Genomic DNA, 18,132 nt, shown 5'->3' on the forward strand with positions numbered 1-18,132 from the left:
TAGACAGAGTCTCGCGGGAGTGCAATGGCGCGATCTCAGCTCACTGCAACCTCCACCTCCTGGGTTCAAGCGATTCTTCTGCCTCAGGCTCCCAAGTAGCTGGGATTACAGGCACCCGCCACCATGCCCGGCTAATTTTTTGTATTTTTAGTAGAGACAGGGTTTCACCACGTTGGCCAGGCTGGTCTCAAATCCCTGGCCTCAAGCGATCCTCTGCCTTGACTTCCCAAAGTGCTGGGATTACAGGCAGGAGCCACCTTGCCTGGTCTACACTGTTGTTGCTGTTGTTTTGTGAATGGGAAGCAAGATACTTCTTATATGGCAGAGTGAGAGGGAGTGAGAGAGTGGGAGACAGGGAGGGGGAAGGGGAGAGGTGGAAAGAGGAGGGAGGAGGGAGGAGGTGGGGAGAGGGGTAGTCTGGCCTACTACATTTTTAGCATCCCAAAAAGAAACCCCACACATTAGCAGTCAATCCCTACTTCTCCCTAGTCCTCAGTTCTAGGCAACCATTAATCTACTTTCCATCTCTATCAATTTGCCTATTCTGGACATTTCATATAAACGGAATCATCCATTATTTGTCCTGTTGGGTCTGACTTCTTTCATTTAGCATAATGTTTTCAAGATTCATCCATGTTGTATCGTGCATCAGTACTTCATTCCTTTTGATGGCTGAATAACAGTCTATGTATGGCTGTATCACATTTTGTTTATCCATCCACCAACTGATGAATATTTGAGTTGTTTCCACTTTTTGGCTATTGTGAATAGTGCTGCTATGAATATTTGAGTACAAGTTTTTATGTGGACATATGTTTTCATTTCTTGTTTATGTACCTAAGAGCGGAATTGCTGGGTCATATGGCAACTCTGTGTTTAACATTTCGAGGAACTGCCAAGCTATTTTTCAAAGTGGCTGCATCATTGTACATTCTCACCAGCAATGTATGAAGGTTTCAATTTCTCCATACTCTCTTCAACACTTATTGTCTGTTTTTTTATTATAAACATCCTAGTGGGTGTGAAGTGGCATCTCATCATGGTTTAGATAGCATGACTCCTGAACAGCTGGTTTGACTGCCAAGTTTATTAATTAGCTAGAAATGAGAAACACAGGGCCCAGCATCATGATACTCCAATTTTGAAAATATAACATGTAATAGGCTGGGCACAATGGCTTACACCTGTAATCCCAGCAATTTGGGAGGCCAAGGTGGGAGAATCACTTGAGCCCTAGAGCCTGAGACCAGCCTGGGCAACATAGCAAGACCTCCTCTCTACTAAAACTTTTAAAATTAACTAGATGTGGTGACATGCACTGTAGTCCCACCTACTTGGGAGGCTAAAGGTGGAGGATCACTTGAGACCAGGAATTCAAAGCTGCAGTGAGTTGTGATCCCACCACTGAACTCCAGCCCGGGCAACAGAGTGATGCTCTGTCTCCAAAAAAAAAAAAAAATTAAAAAAAGTTGTAGTAAAACTGTTTTCAATCTTTTTTGTTGCCAGTATTTTCTAGATGGCATTATACAGGTGGCAATTTGTCATGAAAATTCATATAGCATTGGAGATTTGCTAAATTATGCATAAAATTCCAATTTTGATATTTTTCCTATTCAAAACTTATCCCTGAATGGGGAGACCAGGAAAGGCTAGCTCCTGAATCAGAGACAAAGTGAGTAAATAAAGTAGCATTCCCCACAGGGCCCTTCCTCTGCCCTCATTGGAACACATTACAACTTAGAAACACAAGACACCTATTCTATGATGGCAATGTGAACTATTATTCCTGTCTAGAGACCTGCCCATCTCCTCCACGACTGGCCTGTCTTCAAAAAAGCATTTGATAATACATTTGGGGGCGGCGGGGTTGGGGGAGGCTCAGAAAAATGCAACCGCTAAAATTTCTCTGGATGGAGTTTTCTTCAGTAAACAGTAGACCCTGGGAAACATAACAGGTTCCGAAAACTTAATTTTGATGACTGAAAGTCAGAGAAACAGCCAGCTGAATCAGCTCCTTCTTGGGCAGTGGTTTAGCCTACTTATCTCATATCAGACCTAAGGGTCCAGCTGCTTTTCCTTGGTTCTAAAGAGTTCTATTCTGGCCAGGACCCATCCCGAGACAGACACTTCTGTCTGCAGCCCTGAAAACTAGAGGTCAATGGAAGGGCTCAAATTAAAGGCCCACAGTTGGGCTTACAACTCTCCATGGTGTTCAAGCCTTCTCAGAGGAGCTGGTGTGGTGGAGCCAGGGTCAAAGGTCATAGTAAATAGAAAGTAGCCAGCTTTCTGCCTGCATAACATCATCTTGCCTAACCAGACTCAAACGCTTAATTCTACTGTAGTATTCTTTGGACATTCTTCTTTAGAACTACGGGGGCGGGGGGGGGGGGGCGTGTTTATTTTCAACAACCACAATCATCCTTATCTTTCTGAAGATGTTTCCAAAGGCTGAGAACAGACCCCTTTCAGAACCTCGGTAGGAGAAGTATTAACAGTTGGAAACATGTCAGCTGCTTTATGGAGGAAGCACAGCCCAGGCCTGGTTTCTCTGGGCTCCGTGATAACTTGGGGCAAGGCAGCCAGTGCGAAGCGTGGTGGCAGGAGCTGGAGAGATGGAGAGCGGCTCGGAGAAGGGCCCCTGCTTTTCAGAGTTGAAACAGGAGCCCTCTGAGAGAAAGAGATACTGCGTGTGGCTTCTCTGAAGCCTTGGAGGGCGACGTGGATGACACAGCATCAGCCATTCCATCGCGGGGTGGGGACACAGTGGCGGCAGGAACCGTCCTCAGCCCCTGGCGGCCACGGCAGTTCCCCGCTGAAGCATCCTTTGTGGGGTGTGGGTAAGGGAGGGGGACCAAAGTCGGGTCGGAGTTGAGTTTGTTAGACGGCGAGCACACTCAGGGCGGCAGCCCGAGTAAGAAGGATGGCCCCGGGAGAGAAACGGCTCGAAGCTAGGGGCGGGGTGAAGCGCCTGCTCCTTAATCTCCTGCCCCATCATCCACTCGCCCCACCTGGATGCAGAGCGAGGACCGCGTGGAAAGGAAACGGCGCGGGCGGGGCTCCCCCTCGCAGATGCCTCGGAGACCCAGAGGGGCGGCGTCAGGCCAGGGCCCCGAGCCCTACGCCCCCCATCCCCCCAACTCCAGCGCCTCTGAGGTGCCCCTCTCGCAATTCCGAGGCATCACCGTGTCTCCCCCGCCTCCGTTAAAATAGTGAAACTGCGGAGTGAAGTGATGGAAAGCCGGGGGCGGGGAGTCGCCCGCGGCGAGGGGCTGCAGGGGAGGGGGCGCGGTGGCCGAATAAGGTGGCCCGCGAGCAACGGGACGATTGGGATCGCAGCCAGTCGCGGCCTCCCGGACCCTTCCCCTCGGGCAGCCCGGCCCTCCCATGGCCCGGGGCGCCTTGGGAGGGCGTAGGGCAAACCTGGGGCTGCGGTGGGGGGTGGGGAGGGGACTCCACCTCCATCCATCCCGGGATGGCAACTGCGGTCACCCTGCTAAAGTCGGGGCGGGGGCGGCGGTCCTCCCCCTCACCCCCCCCAGTCCGAGCGCCGCCGCCGCCGCCGCCGCCGCCGCCGCGGCCGCTCAGTAACACGTCCCCAGGAGACTCGCAGGAGCAACACGTGATGTGTCTACTTATCAGGGTGAGAGGGGGAGAGCGAGACTCCGAGCGTGCGGGCGAGGAAGCTGGGCGGGGGGCCGAGACGGGGGCCGGGACGACGGCTGGGGCGCCGGGGTCGCCAGCTCCTCGCCCACCTCCCTCCCTGTGGGAGAAGAGGAGGAGGGGAAGTGACTGCGGAGTTGATGAACTTTGCACATCCAGAAACGCCATTTTGATTCCTTTTCCGGAACAAGTTTGCATCTCTCCTCGGTCTCTCCCTGAAGCCCACCGGTCCCCAACGCATCATGCCAGGGAGCCAAGCGTCCTGCCCGGCCGTAAGTACGTGCCCCGGATTCCGACTCGCGGTACGCCGGCGGCAGCGAGAAGTCTGGGGCACAGCCGGAGCGACCTTTTAAAGAACTTTGGGGATGGGGAGGGTGAAGTCTGCAGAGCGCGTTGTACTTTTGAAACTCGGTGTGTCCCGGAGCCGGGGACCCGCACGCCCCACTCCGCGCAGCGTGCGCTCGGGCCGGCGGGGCGGCCAGGGATGAGCGGGGCAGCCCTCTCCCCTCGGGCTGCGCGCCGGGCCATTCCTCCTCCTCCTCCTCCTCCTCCCCTTCCTCCGCTCTTTTCCCTTTCCCGAGCCGCCGGCTCTGCCAACCAGCTCCCAGCGCGAGCCGCCGCAGCGCCCCGCCAGCAGGACCTGATGCGCATCCATATTAGCCGTCCGAGCGCAGGAATCCGGCCCGACCCGCGCCGCCGAGTTTATTTTTAACCAGCACCGCCGGGACTCGGATGGTGCGCGCACCGCCGGCCAGAAACATCTTCCCAGCGCTGCTCTCCATCTTCCGCCCTCTCTCCCTCGACATCCTCCCCCCCATGTGGGAGGGGAAACTTTTCTCCTACATACTTTCGAGTCCTTCTCGGGCCGGGAAGCGCGGAGATGACGGCGCCCGCCCTCCCGCCGCCGCCCTAAGGTATCCGGGGGTGCCTGCCCGGGGTGCTCGCGCGGGGGTGCCTGCTCGGGGCTGCTCGGTGGGAGCATCCGCCGCGCCCTGCTCTGCGGACTTTGAACCTCCCGGGCGGACGGCGCCGGCCGGGAGGGGGCCGCGGGCAGCCCCGCGCCCTCGCGGGTTCCCGGCTGGCGGTCGTGGTCACGCCGACCACCGCCCCGGGGGGCCTGGGGAGGAGGGGACCGGGCCCTAGCCGTGCGGGCACGTATTGTTCCCTCGCCCTTCCGTTGGCGGGGTGAGTGTTTTCGTGGGAGCCCTCGGTGTGGAGCTAGCCTGCCTCGCGGGCGGGGGGGGTGGGGGGCTCGGCGCCGTCACGAGCACAGGAAGGAGGCCGGGAGCATCCGAGGCGGGGCCGGCCGCCGGGGCCCGCTCCGCCGCCCAGCTGTGGAGCGCGCTCGGAAACTTTTGTCCGCCGCCCGCTGGACCAGTTTTTCACGAGTTCTGGGGCTTCCCTTCCTCCTCCCATCCCGGCCCCCGGCGTCTAGCTGGGTGGGGGGAGGGGGCCTGTTGCTGCCCCCCCCGCCCCCAACTTCCCGCACAAGCCTTGGGCCGGGCCCCCCGCGCCCCCTCCCCGCTCGCGGTCTCTTAGGAAACTGCGACCTTAATGGTTGCTAAGGAGCAGGGGAGGTCCTTCCCGTCGCCGACCCCCTCCCTGGGAAGCGGCGTGTTTTCTGGACCGGGCCAAGGGCGCGTCGAGGATGTGACCTGCTCCGCGGCCGCGCGTGAGTGCGGGGCGCGTCGGCCGAGCCCACCGATGGGCGAGGCCACCTTTCTCTCCGGGCGGGGCGGGGAGCTGGGGGACGCGGGGACCCCACGGGGTGCGGGCCCGGGCCGCTTGACAGGCGCCGCGTGCAGCTCGCGCCCCTCGGCCGCCGTGCATCCGTGATGGGTTATAAAAGAGGAGGAAAGTATTTCTCCTTGCTCAGCAGATTTGCCCTCCCTCGCTCCTTACTGGTTAGGAGATAGAACGTGAGCCCAGATCCGGACGAGCAGTTCACATTCCATTACGAAATTCTACACGGCTTCAGAGCCAGCAGCAGCACACATTCGGGGCACTTTGGAGGGGTTTTCTTCGTTTGAGGATGCTCCTGCTGCTGCTGCTTGTGATGGTGGTGGATGTGGAGAGAGACAAAAGGGTGAATAAAAAAATATAACGTTTTGGTATGTTGAAAAACCTGTCCGGGGGTTTTCATTAGTAGAAAATTGAACCCTCTTAGAGTTTAGATTTAAGCTTAGCTCTTTAAAAGCCAGTGGAAATAAAGTTTGCCTGTTGAATGGTGTTGCTGGAAATAGCGAGGAATTTCTGTCTTAAGAAGAAATGATTTCTGCAAAGGCAGAGTTGCTAGTGCATCTCCATTATTTTTGATATTTTTTTTCCCCTTTATATATGTAGTGGACCCTGCATGTGTGCGAGTTGATTCTGAAATAAGTTTAATTGAAGTGGAAGGTGGGGAAAAGAGAACTGCCAAGAAAAGAATGTGGTTTAGTTTTGTTTTTTCACACCCATGAAAATCATCCTCTAGATTTGGTGCTTTTTCAAGTAGGCAGGTATAGTTTCTAAGACATATTTCAACCCGGAAGTCTGAGTTAGATAGAGGCCAAAGTGTTGGCTAAAACCTCTTTGAAAAACAAACGTTGAGTTTTGTGCTATCTTCAAGAGTCCACAGAACTTCTGAAGGAATGGGTTCGAGCTACTCTACAAGTAATTTATACAAAGACAGAATCACTAATTTTAGGGGTGGTGTGTGTGTGTGTGTGTATGTGTTTACCTCCGCCCTTTGGAGGGAGCCTTCTGGGTACCCGCTGATGGGTCCTGCTTTGATGTGCTTTGAGCTTTGGTTACACTGATGAATTAAACATTTGAATGGCTTTAATCAAGTTTTAAATGTGTTAAAAAAATACCTTTCCCCCATTTTTACAAAAGAAAAGGAGAGAAGAACTCTTTGATTTAGTTATTTGCTTAGCTTGTGCTCCATTTTAGGTTAATGAACTTGCATTGTCTTTGTCTTAAAAATACTGCTAAACTGGTTGCATTTTAGAATGTCTTGTTTTTAAAGAGGATTTGCTGGATGTGTAATACTCTTAAGAAATGCTGCCGATGCTTACCGTTTTGTGGAATATCATTCTCTGGGTTTTTCTAGATACTGCTTTATTTCTCATCAGAAAATCAGACTCTAAGCCCTTATGGCAGACAAGTATTTGTTATGTGATGGGGAACATGCGTCTTATTGAGCTGGTACAGGTAGTGCATCCATTCCTAACTAGTTACATCATCCAACAAGCGACCTTTTGATTGAAGGGTCTTTTAAATTTCTTCGGGCAGACTCCCAAGGCCTTATTTGTATCCAACACAGGTACAGCGTGTTGAAGGAAGAAAATAAACCTACACGTATTAGTCCAGCATCTGATCAACAGCAGTTTATTGGTTACCTGCTGTGTGCCAGGCACTGTACAGTGTAGCTGCCTTAGGTCGTTTTTGCTCTTCAATTTTGAACTGTTGCGTTATTCCACTTCTGAGGTCAGTTAGGAAGTCTTTGCTTGCTATCTTATGCTTGCTTGCTAACATCATTTATCACCTTCAGCTAAGGAAATGTCCTAGTTAATGAAGTTTTAAAATGCTACCCTTTTAGGATTTTGCTCAGCATAATTAATATAAATTTAACTCCTATAAGAATTGGTTAAATATATTCTTTGGAAACAGAAGTGAATTCTTTTGATGTTTCTGTTCATTATCCTTCTGAAAAGTAGGTGGTGCTTAGAAGGTCATAGGATAAGGGTTGCTAAGCAGCTAAACAGAAGGATGCTAAAATTAACCAAAGCATTTTTGAAAGGGAGTCATTCCCTGTTTTACATTATTTACTAGGTTTAGTTAATTTCTGAATCTTCTATGTCCTTTGACCTGGGAAGGTAGGATGTTAAAGTTTGTTTTGGTTTTGTTATTATATTTAAATAATCTCTTTCTTTTGTAAGTGTCTTTAATTGAAGTTCAGTACTCTATGACCAGCCTTGTGGTGTCAGATGGCAGCTTGTCTGGTGGACTTCTTGACTATTACCAGTGTGTTCAGGTTGAACCTTCCTGAGGATTTGTGTGTATAGTACCCTCTTATTTCTAGTATTAATAACTGATTCCATGGTTTGTTTTGGAAATTCTGCATAATCCATAAAGTTATGTCTTTTATTCCGCATGAAACAGATTTGTATTCAAAGATAGAAATGCAATTTAGTATCAGTAGAAAGTATGCAATGTAGTCTGTCCTGATAAGGGGACAATAGCTTTCTTTCCCCCTTTACTGAGATTACCATTCCCTTAGATTAGGTTTTGATAGGGCTTCTCCTCCATTTCATTCCACCTCCCTAGTGCAGTTTATTCCGCCCAGTTCATAGCTATCTTTTTAAAAATAATTATATTAGGTTCAGAGTATCTTTGGAAGGACTGGCCAAATGTCAGAAAACAAAAATAGGTGTGATGTACATTACATTTCTGCCAAAAGTATGTTCAAGTATCTTGAAGTTTTTCATTGAGATAAAATGGTTGAAATCTAATTGAAGCCATGATGAGTAACTATCATCTCTTGGTTGAATGGTAAGCCTGTTGTAAGCCAAAAGTTTCCCTGCTTCAAGGTTAATTTCTGTACATCTGACCTATTGAACAGGCAGTGTTGAGTCATATTTTTTATGTCCAAATATAATTAAGAAATTGATAAATGTATTTTCTTTCTGTTTCTTTTCTCTCTTTCTTTCCTGATTTAGACAGTGATTTTTGAGTAGAAGTAGCCATGGCAGTTTTCAAAGAGCAAGGGTCAGACAGTGATTTCCACAGGGGGGTGAGGGTTGCAGGGTTGCAGGTACCTTATATCAAAGGTAAAAGGTACACCGTATGAAACCCAGAGGGAGGCATACGGTGTGCTCTCTGAAATGCATCACTTATTTTTCATTTCCCCCACTCCCATAGAAGGCAGAATACAGAAAAGAAAACTACTGTTGTTTTCATTACTACGGAGGTAAAAGAATGAGGAAGGTGGAGAGGGGTTTTTCCTTTTTTGTTAGCAGTCCTGTCGGCAATGTCATCGACTGTGCTCCGCCCAATTTCTCTTGTCACGTTCTCTGGTGTTCAGCGTGGTCTGAACTGCAGCCGAGTGTAGCTGGGGATTGCACTCTGCCGTTGGCAGTGGCGGGTTGGGGTGAAGCGGATGGGGAGGAGGAGACTGGGAGCGATCGGTGCATCTTATTTCTGGTGGGACTTCAAGGGTACTGAAGTTAGCCAGTCTGCCCATCAGTAGAGGTGGCTGACTGTGAGTAGGTGCTTCAGACGAAAGCATGGGAGAGGGTGGAGATTGTTTGTTCAGTGTGATTCAAGCCAGTAAAGCTAAGAGAATTCGAAAACCTCTGTGAAGTCCGGGGACTGGGGACTGGGTCCTGACTGCTCCTGCAGGGATTCACCTGAGGGCTTGCAGACATCATGAGGGTGGGTGGAGAAAGAGAATGAAAACCCCCACAGGCATTGTCAGACAGCCAGAGTGAAGAGAAAACGTCTCAGTGGGGGTAATTAGATAAAGCTTTTAAATGCTCTATTTGTTTTTCTCTAGTTTGCTTGGTATTTCATCTCTTTCCCCCTTTTCAGAGACTATGGGATAGAATTGTTATGAAAGTGTCTGATACTTCTGGTGGTTTAATCACTTTAAAATTTTTCTTTTTCATTCAGATATACCTTCTAGGACTTAGTTAATTTCACCCTGCTTTTGTGGAGGCCTTTAGCAAAGATTCCACGTTCATGCTGAGAGGAACACTGTGGGAGTTGGGTGGGTATGTTGACCCATTTTACAGCTGCGCGGTGGTCCACCCGGGGGCTGTTAATGAATCAAACTTGGAACCCAGAACTCCTAACTCCAGCCTAGCCCTGTAGAACAGCTGCTTTTTAGAGTCAGTTTGACCTCAGGAGGACTTAGCAGCATTAAATATATACTGCCTATTTATCTCCATGTGTATGGTGTGTGGTTTTTAAATAAGACCAGATCCTTTTCAAAATAAACCTAATTGAGTTTGAAGGTATAAGGAAATTTTAAAAAGCACTTCTGCTCTTGGTAGCATTTCTGTTGATGAACTGTGATGACATGTATCTTTTTAGTAGCCTTTCTACCTCATGAGATTGTTGTAAGGATAAAGTAGATGTTCCAGAAAGTCAAAATCTATAAACGGAAGAAAGTGGTATATTTTGAGCTCAGGAAGCTTTGTGGGTATCCATTCTGGATTTCCTTTCCAGAATTTTGCACACCTCCATTACCTTAGTCAAATTTTGCCTAGGAGTTTATGTTCAGATTGGGGAAATGCAGCACTTTGTTTTTGTTTTTAGTGCTGGGAGACTAACAGGACTAGCAAATTCTTCTTAATGTGGTTCACTTAGGTGAGGCAGAGTCTTGCTGTCGCCCAGGATGGAGTGCAGTGGCACAATCTTGCCTGTCTGCAACCTCCACCTCCAGGGTTCAAGCGATTCTCCTGCCTCAGTCTCCTGAGCAGGTGGGACTACAGGCACACACCACCACGCCCAGCTAATTTTTGTATTTTTAGTAGTAACAGGGTTTCACCATGTTGATCAGGGTGAGGGATGAGTTTTAAGGAAAAAGCTGATGACAAGCTTGGGGCTTACTCTTTGAAGAAGTGGTTCTCAACCTGGTGGGTTTGCCCCCAGGGGACTTTTGGCACTGTCTGGAGACATTTTTAAGTGTTTCTGGTGGGGGGGGGGGCGGCAGCGGGGAGCTGCTACTGGCCTTTAGTGCATAGACCCCAAAGATGCTGTTCCACATCTTGGAGTGCACAGAACGACCCCCATACGTCAGCAGAGCTGAGGTTGAGAAAGCCTGCTTGAAAGGTACAGTAGTCGTGGCCTGGGTCTCATCTACAAGTCCACTGGGTGCGCTGCCTGTATTGCATGCGATATATTTAGAAATCTGAAATTCCATAAAGCAAGTAAGCTCTTATTTGCCTCTGAGGTACCATGGTTGGCAAGTTCGAAGTTTCACAGAAAATTTGGGGTTGAGGAAAATGTTAAGTGGCATTAAATATATTTGAAAACCCCGTAGTAAATGAAAATTCTAGAAGTCATCTACTTCTAAAACAAACTAGATTCATTGGCTTTGTGAAGCTGTTGTGGTCGATGGCTCAGCTTTCCCAGTCACCTCTTCAGTTATTTGGGAAACTTGCTCTGGTGCTGTCATCTGCAGCCTCCTTCATGTTCTAAGTTATGTGGAGTATACCTTTTTTTTTTTTTAAGTGTTTGAACTAGCCCTTACTTGCTTAACAGTTAATGTTTTTGCATTCGTAGTCTCCCTTGTTTTATTTTCTCAAGTTTTTGCAAAATTCTTACATAACCGTCTGCCGTTTTTATAGGGCAGTGTTTCTGAGCCGGGTGCTCTGTCCATACATCTCCTCTTGAGAGGGTGGATGGCTGCCAGCTGCTGTGGTTGGGAGGGATAGGGAGGGAGTAAGGGGATGCAGGGTAGGAGGCGGTGATTATTTTTATGTTAAGGGACCCCAGGCCTCAGACCAGAAATGTCTAATATAGTGTCAGGAGTGATCTTTTAGCCAGCAAGTGTTAACTGATCTGACCCTTGGCCTTCCCCCCCACCCCCCAGCCTATCACACAGACAGGAGGTAAGGAAACCATAGAGGGGAGAAGAAAACAGGGAGACAGAGATCGAATTCCAGAAAAGGAAGGGCTGCCAGTGGTAGGCAGAGTCACCCCTAGAGTGGCCTGGGCTCCCACTTTATAGACATGTGCAATACTTGAAGATAGCTCTTTTTACATCTAAACCAGCGGTTAGTCAGTGTCCCATTGGTGTCAGTCGCACTGATGGTGCTCAGGGCCATTGCTCTGCAGCCACCTTTGCAGTCCCATACGTGGTAACGAGTCCTGTTCCTGCAGAACGCACTCTGCGTTCTGGTGCTTTTCTGTCTTCTCGTCTAACCTATAAACTGCCAACTCCCAACTCTATATCTCCATTTACAACTTCTCCCAAGCTTGAACCTTTTGTCACCCTGATCACCCTGCAAGTACCTTACCCTGCAGGTACTTGTAAAAATGAAAGTCCTCTCCCTTCCTTCTGGAAGGTGATCACCATCCACCCAGCCTTCTAGGCCAGGAGTCTTACTGCCGTCCTGACGTATGTCTGTCCTGCCCCAATGTTCGATCAGTCACCAGGCCCTCTGCAAAACCACACTCCAGTCTGGCCCTGGCATTGGCTGTTCTATCGTTTCTGACCTAAGGCCCTCATCAAGTCACAAACGCCTCCCAAGTTAATTTCCTGCCACCAGTTTCTCCTTACTGCAGTTCATCCTCCACTCTGCTGCCAGAATCATCAGAACTAAAGCCGTGCGTGGTGTTTGCCTGCTTAAAAACATCTCTTGGCTCTCTGTTGTCTACAGGAAGAAATCCAAACTCCTTAACTTGGCATACAAGGAACTTCGTCTGCTTCCAAGCTGAATTTCTAGTCTCAGCTCTTGTCACTCTCTTCTACCCCACTGCCACACTGAATTGATTCTTACTGCCTCCTGTTGCCTGGATTGTTCATTCTGTTGCATCCCCATCCCCTTCCTTCAGCAATAAAAATTTTGTACTCTTTTTTTCAAGACCCAGCTTAAATACTACCTCTTCTATGGAGAATTAGCTCTTCTGTTGTGAGTAACTTTTACCCCCATCTGTCAAGTCTTGTCTGTTGTAATTTATCTCTTAACATGTTTCTCTCACTTCAAGAATATTTTCCCATCTCCTGCACCTAGAACGATTGCATAGTTGGTGCTCACTCACCACTGTGTGTTGATTTCTGATACAAAAATGAGAGTTTCTGAAGATTTTGGAGAATAGCCACATGTAATTTGGAAGCTAAGGCCTAAATAGTGCTACAAATTCAATGAAGGAAATAGACATGAACTAACGATTTCAGCATACCCATCATGCAGAAGGTGGTGCTAGGTGGGAAAGAATTAAGTTCTTTGGTGGGAAAGAATTTTGAATTACAGAAATTCTAAAATAAAAGTTGGCTCAGCTTAATGTAAAAGTGAAAAAAACTCCTTGTTAATGCCTGGTTGCACTAAAAGCTGTCACACTGGGGCCTTTACTAATTATAACCATTTTTCATGGCTCTTGATTTGAAGTTTACATTAAATAGGAGAGATGGGCACACAGATCAAAGACCAAAATCATTTCAGAGCTCCAATGTGTGGGCCCATTTTCTCTGCTTAGTTAGAGTTTTGTTTCATTAGTGGTATGAGTTAATAGGAGTGTTGGTCTGTGTATAATTTAGCTTCTCTTTTTTCCATTACTCGTAGGATTCAAAACAGAATACCAAGCCAGAAATCTACAGGGTATAAATCTTGCTTTATGTGTTTGTATGTGTCTGTGTATGTGCAGTATACACGTGGTAATAGTTGATTTTAGATCATATTTATAAAAATAATCATTTTCACTGTTTTAAGGGAGCTCCCTTTATTCTGACACTTCAGTGTAAAAAACAAAACATTTCTCTGAATATACAAAATCAAAATCTTAATTTTCTCATAAAAGAGGTAGATATGTCTTCAGAAATAGGGGAGATAACCAGGAAGATGGGGTGGGTGTTCTGAAACACAAAGGTGAACCATGTGAATAGGTTTCCTGTTTTTTTTTTTTTTTTTTTTTTTTTTTTTTTTTTTTTGAGACGAAGTGTTTTACTCTTGTCACCGAGGCTGGAGTGCAATGGCGCAGTCTTGGCTCACTGCAACCTCCGCCTCCCAGGTTCAAGCGATTCTCTTAGCCTCCCGAGTAGCTGGGATTACAGGCGCCTACCACCACACCCAGCTAATTTTTGTATTTTTTTTAGTAGAGATGGGGTTTCACCATGTTGGCCAGGCTGGTCTTGAACTCCTGACCTCAGGTGATCTGCCCACCTTGGACTCCCAGAGTGCTGGGATTACAGGCATGAGCCACCGCGCCCCACCAGATTTCCTTTTTAAACAATGAATTTTTATTTTTTATTTTTTTGGAGACAGGGTCTCTCTATGTTGCTCATGCTGGTCTCAAATTCCTAAACTCCTGGGATGGAGCAGTCCTCCTACCTCAGCCTCCCAAAGTGTTGAGATTACAGGTATGAGGTATGAGCCACTGAGCCTGACATGAATTTAAAAAAGCAAAAAGAAGAAAATGACATAGTGTGTGGAAGTTCTTGGTATTTTTTATACAAGATGAAATCCTGGTTGATTAAAAATATATTACTATAAATATTTTTTAACAAGTGCTTATCTGCTAACTAGAGTTTAGGCTCAGATTTGGCAGATACATTCAGATATAATATTCTAACGTAGTTTTATTTATCAGGAGGCTCATATATTTTCCTCTTCAATACAGAAAATAGTTTTTTGTTTTCTTTTTGAGACAGAGTCTTGCACTATCTCCCAGGCTGGAGTGCAGGGGTGGAATCTCAGCTCACTGCAACCTCCACATCTTGGATTCAAGCGATTCTCCCACCTCAGCCTCCTGAGTAGCTGGGATTACAGGCGCATGCCACCACACCTGGCTAATTTTTGTATTTTTAGTAGAAACAGAGTTTCACTATGTTGGCCAGGCTGGTCTCAAACTCCCAACCTCATGTGATCTGCCCGCCTTGGCCTCCCAAAGTGCTGGGATTACAGGTGTGAGCCACCGCTCCCGCCCAGAAAATAGGTTATTTTAAAGTCAGTTTTTCCTTTGCTTTAGGAATTTTAAATGTTTTGGAGGATAATTTTATAAAACTAGTGAACATCTCAAACAGGTTTTCTATGGCTTGGTTAGTTAAATCTGTATGTATTTGGCTAAAGTGTTCTATTAAAAGTTTAAAACCAAGTATAGTTTAAAGGAGGCTTAACTTGCGTGTCTCTGAATTTGATTTGTATTTAAATCATGAAAAGAAGGTTTCTGAGAACCATTTGTTCAAAAGCTTAATAAGGCTTCACAACCTCCTGTCCTGGAGTGTGATTCAGTATGAGATTTAGCGTCCTTTTGAAAATAGTCAGTTTTTCACCACCAAATTTGCCAATCCCATGGTGTTTTTTTTAATTTTTTTTTTTTTTTTTTTTTTTTTTTTTTAGAGACAGGGTTTCACCATGTTAGCCAGGCTGGTCTCAAACTGCTGACCTCAGGTGGTGCACTCACCTCGGCCTCCCAAAGTGATGGGATTACAAGCGTGAGCCACTGCACCTGGCCTCCCATGGTGTTATTATTTTTTTAACATTTACAGATTTTTATTGATTCAATACATATTTGAATATCCACTATGCAAGGCTACTGTGTTAAGCACCAAGTTTACTGGTATGGGAAAGATAGTTGAAAGCCTCGTAGAGGATATATTGCATCAAAAGAAATGGCAGGCGTGGTGGTTCACGCCTGTAATCCCAGCACTTTGGGAGACCAGCCTGGCTAGTATGGTGAAACCCCATCTTTACTAAAAACACAAAAATTAGCTGGGCGTAGTGGCGGGCGTCTGTAATCCCAACTACTCAGGAGGCTGAGGCAGGAGAATCGCTTGAACCCTGGAGGCAGAGGTTGAATGAGCTGAGATCGTGCTACTGCGTTCCAGCTCGGGTGACAGAGCGAGACTCCATCTCAAAAAAAAAGAAAAGGACACGTGTTCAGCAACTAAGAAGTCATTTTTATATACACGTGCTAAGTGCCACCAGTGTGTGGCCTTTGTGTGTGGGGGAGGAGTGAAAGATGCTGGGAGGCCGGTCAAGGAAGGCACCTTGTGGAAGTGACATTTGAGCTAATAGCTGAAGGATGGGTGAGAGGAAAGAAAAAGCGTCAGAAAACGGCTTGTACAAAGACCCTGAGGTTGGAGAGAGGTGTGCGTCCAGGAAAATGAGAAAAGCACAGTGTTTGGAGGAAGACAAGACACAGAACCAGTGAATTACAGGGATGGTGCGGTAGATAAGGGCTAGAGCAGGCTGCTAGGAACTCTGGGAAGCTACGAAAAGTGTTAGGCCAGATTAGCATGATGAGATTTGCATTTTTAAAGATTATTCCTACCCAGAGTTGAGAATAGACCTGGCTAGAAGGAAGCAACTGTTTGCCTTCTGTTTGGAAGAATGTCAGTTAGAACGCTAGTTTTTGAAACTTTGAAAACCGGTGGTGGCAGTAGAAAAAGGGAGCTTAGAAGGATTTGATAAAGGTTTAAGAGGTGGGAGGGGCTTGGCGATGAGGAAGGGTCGTGGAAGGGAGACATGACTTCCTGGTCTCTGGCTTTTGCAGCTGAGTGGATGATGATGCCTCTGACAGTGAAACGCTGGATTAGTCAGGGTTTACGAACAAGGTGTGTTCTCTACCTTTTAAAGAGCTATATTTATGTCCCCACCCCCACCCCCCGCCCGCCTTTTTTAGCTATTTCTTTACTTGCACTGTGTTTTAGTTGATTAAAAATTATGTACCTAGGCCGGGCGTGGTGGCTCATGCCTCTCATCCCAGCAGTTTGGGAGGCCGAGCCGTGCAGATCCCTTGAGGTCGGGAGTTTGAGACTGGCCTGGACAACAAGGTAAAAAACCCTGTATCTACAAAAAAATACAAACCTTAGCCGGGCATGGTGGTACACACCTGTAGTCCCAGATACTCAGGAGACTGAGGTGGGAGGATCACTTGAACCCAGGAGGTTGAGGCTGCAGCGAGCTGTGATTGTGCCACTGCATTCCAGCCTGAGCAACAGGGTGAGACCCCTTCTCAAAAAGAAAAAAAAGTACATGGCATGGATGAAGCATGAACAGTACTTATGTAACAGTGAGAAACAGACGTTATGTTCTTACCATTGGGGAAAAAACCAATGGCTGCCTCGTATTCTATCCTCCTTTTTCCTTTTTTTAATTTCCCGATGCTAAAAGGAACAGGAAAAATTTCTTGTAGATGGTCTGAGCTTTTGAATGATTTTTAGATGAGATGTACACCTATTTTTTTTTTTTTTGAGACAAGGCCTCGCTCTGTCAACAGGGTGGAGTGCAGCCTCGACCTCGTGGGCCCAAGTGATCCTCCCACCTCAGCCTCTTGAGTAGCTGGGGCTACAGGTGTGCGCCACCACGCTTGGCTAATTTTTTTTTTTTTTTTTTTTTTTTGAGACAGAGTCTTGTTCTGTCACCCAGGCTGGAGTGCTGTGGCACGATATTGGCTCACCGCAGCCTCTGCCTCCTGCGTTCAAGTGATTCTCCCTCCTGCCTCAGCCTCTCGAGTAGCTGGGATTACAGGTGCCTGCCACTACGCCTGGCTAATTTTTGTATTTTTAATAGACATGAGGTTTCACCATGTTGGCCAGGCTGGTCTCGAAGTCCCAACCTCAGGTGATCCACCCACCTCAGCCTCCCAAAGTGTTGGGATTACAGGCGTGAGCCACTGCGCCTGGCCAGTTTTTGTATTTTTTTGTAAAGATGGGATTTTACTATGTTGCCCAGGCTGATCTCAAACTCCTGGGCTCAAGTGATCTACCCACTTTGGCCTTCCAAAATGCTGGGATTACAGGTGTGAGCTACCACACCTGGCCTAGACCTAAATCTTAAAAGCACTGAAGTGTGTTTTAGCGATGCTTTATCTGTTTGACTTGAGCATAGGGTTCATGGGAAGAGCCTTTGGGTAGGGACCAAGCTAGGACTCTCACAGTGGCTCAAACCTTTTACTTAGGAGCATCAGAACTCATTTCATGACCTGATTTTCCAACTTATTTCTTAGTTGGAACCACATAAAGTACCTCAGTGGTCACCCGATGCCCTTAATATATTAGAGTTACATTAGTATTTTGCTTGACCTGTAATCTGTGTGAAAACATAGTTCATTCAGTCAGCAACACTTGTTGTGTATCTAATGTGTTGGGCCCTCCACTAGATCTCCTTTGGGTGCCAAAGGAGAAGATTTATTTGACCCCTTTCACAAGGAGTGGAACCTGTCCCCGTGGAGTGATTGTCTAGCTGGTATTTAAATACCTCTGGTGATGGCTGACTTGCTCCCTACCCCCAGGCAGTCCTTTGGTTTCTACTACGTTAATTAACTTTTTTTTTTTAATGGCAAACAAAATCTTTTTGGAACAAAACCGACAGTGACGTGTTTTCCACTGAGTTGGTACACACTAGAAGCTGGAGTGCAGGTGTGCTGCCCTGCTTGATGCAATGCAGGGAGGCAGGGTGCAATCTGACCCTGAGACTTCCATCAGGGTGTGCTCCGGCCACTCAGCAAGTGGTTGTCACCTACTTAGGATTTCTGCTTCCCGAGGGAAGGTGCATGCCTCACTTGGATGCATGGCCCATCCCCTTCTGTGTGAGTTGGGTCACCAGCCTTTAAGATGGTCTCACATGAAAGTCTTATTGGGCTCCCATTTTGGATAATGCTTTTCTCTAATATCATCCGAATAACTCATCAAAACCTCAGGTGAGCATGCTCCAAAGAAGCTTCTCTTTTATAAGGTATCAACCCTGATGGATATAACCTGAACATTCCTTTGGGCCCCAGGTAGTATACTGAGGAGAACGTGAATTTCCATCTCTCTCTCAT

General features: G+C 47.3%; 1 protein-coding gene across 4 annotated transcripts in view, besides 7 other annotated features; it reads left to right on the forward strand.

Moving 5' to 3' along the window:
- Nucleotides 2,642–2,701: an enhancer, noted in NCBI's record as "active region_23935". NCBI's record gives its function as "activates an Ori minimal core promoter by ATAC-STARR-seq in GM12878 lymphoblastoid cells {active_cell/tissue: GM12878}" and the evidence as "EXISTENCE:reporter gene assay evidence [ECO:0000049][PMID:35858748]".
- Nucleotides 3,052–3,531: a silencer, noted in NCBI's record as "silent region_16882". NCBI's record gives its function as "represses an Ori minimal core promoter by ATAC-STARR-seq in GM12878 lymphoblastoid cells {active_cell/tissue: GM12878}" and the evidence as "EXISTENCE:reporter gene assay evidence [ECO:0000049][PMID:35858748]".
- Nucleotides 3,592–3,811: a silencer, noted in NCBI's record as "silent region_16883". NCBI's record gives its function as "represses an Ori minimal core promoter by ATAC-STARR-seq in GM12878 lymphoblastoid cells {active_cell/tissue: GM12878}" and the evidence as "EXISTENCE:reporter gene assay evidence [ECO:0000049][PMID:35858748]".
- RREB1 (ras responsive element binding protein 1) overlaps nt 3,615–18,132 on the forward strand; it is a 144,238-nt gene continuing 129,720 nt past the window's right edge. For 3 of the 4 annotated variants that reach the window (NM_001003699.4, NM_001003700.2, NM_001003698.4), the window contains exon 1: nt 3,833–3,932. The gene's annotated coding sequence lies outside the window, so the exon portion shown is untranslated. Of the gene's footprint in view, nt 3,641–3,832; nt 3,933–18,132 lie in introns of those variants that run through there. The other variant, NM_001168344.2, reaches the window with a different exon arrangement.
- Nucleotides 4,602–5,091: a silencer, noted in NCBI's record as "silent region_16884". NCBI's record gives its function as "represses an Ori minimal core promoter by ATAC-STARR-seq in GM12878 lymphoblastoid cells {active_cell/tissue: GM12878}" and the evidence as "EXISTENCE:reporter gene assay evidence [ECO:0000049][PMID:35858748]".
- Nucleotides 5,112–5,201: a silencer, noted in NCBI's record as "silent region_16885". NCBI's record gives its function as "represses an Ori minimal core promoter by ATAC-STARR-seq in GM12878 lymphoblastoid cells {active_cell/tissue: GM12878}" and the evidence as "EXISTENCE:reporter gene assay evidence [ECO:0000049][PMID:35858748]".
- Nucleotides 11,328–11,622: a silencer, noted in NCBI's record as "tiled region #12169; K562 Repressive DNase matched - State 5:Enh". NCBI's record gives its function as "represses a minimal TATA promoter and a strong SV40 promoter by Sharpr-MPRA in K562 cells {active_cell/tissue: K562}" and the evidence as "EXISTENCE:reporter gene assay evidence [ECO:0000049][PMID:27701403]".
- Nucleotides 14,860–15,435: an enhancer, noted in NCBI's record as "H3K27ac hESC enhancer chr6:7119221-7119796 (GRCh37/hg19 assembly coordinates)". NCBI's record gives its function as "activates a minimal SCP1, AML or CMV promoter by ChIP-STARR-seq in naive H9 embryonic stem cells {active_cell/tissue: H9 hESC(naive)}" and the evidence as "EXISTENCE:reporter gene assay evidence [ECO:0000049][PMID:30033119]".

This window comes from Homo sapiens, chromosome 6, assembly GCF_000001405.40.
Source record: "Homo sapiens chromosome 6, GRCh38.p14 Primary Assembly".
NCBI lineage: Eukaryota > Metazoa > Chordata > Mammalia > Primates > Hominidae > Homo > Homo sapiens.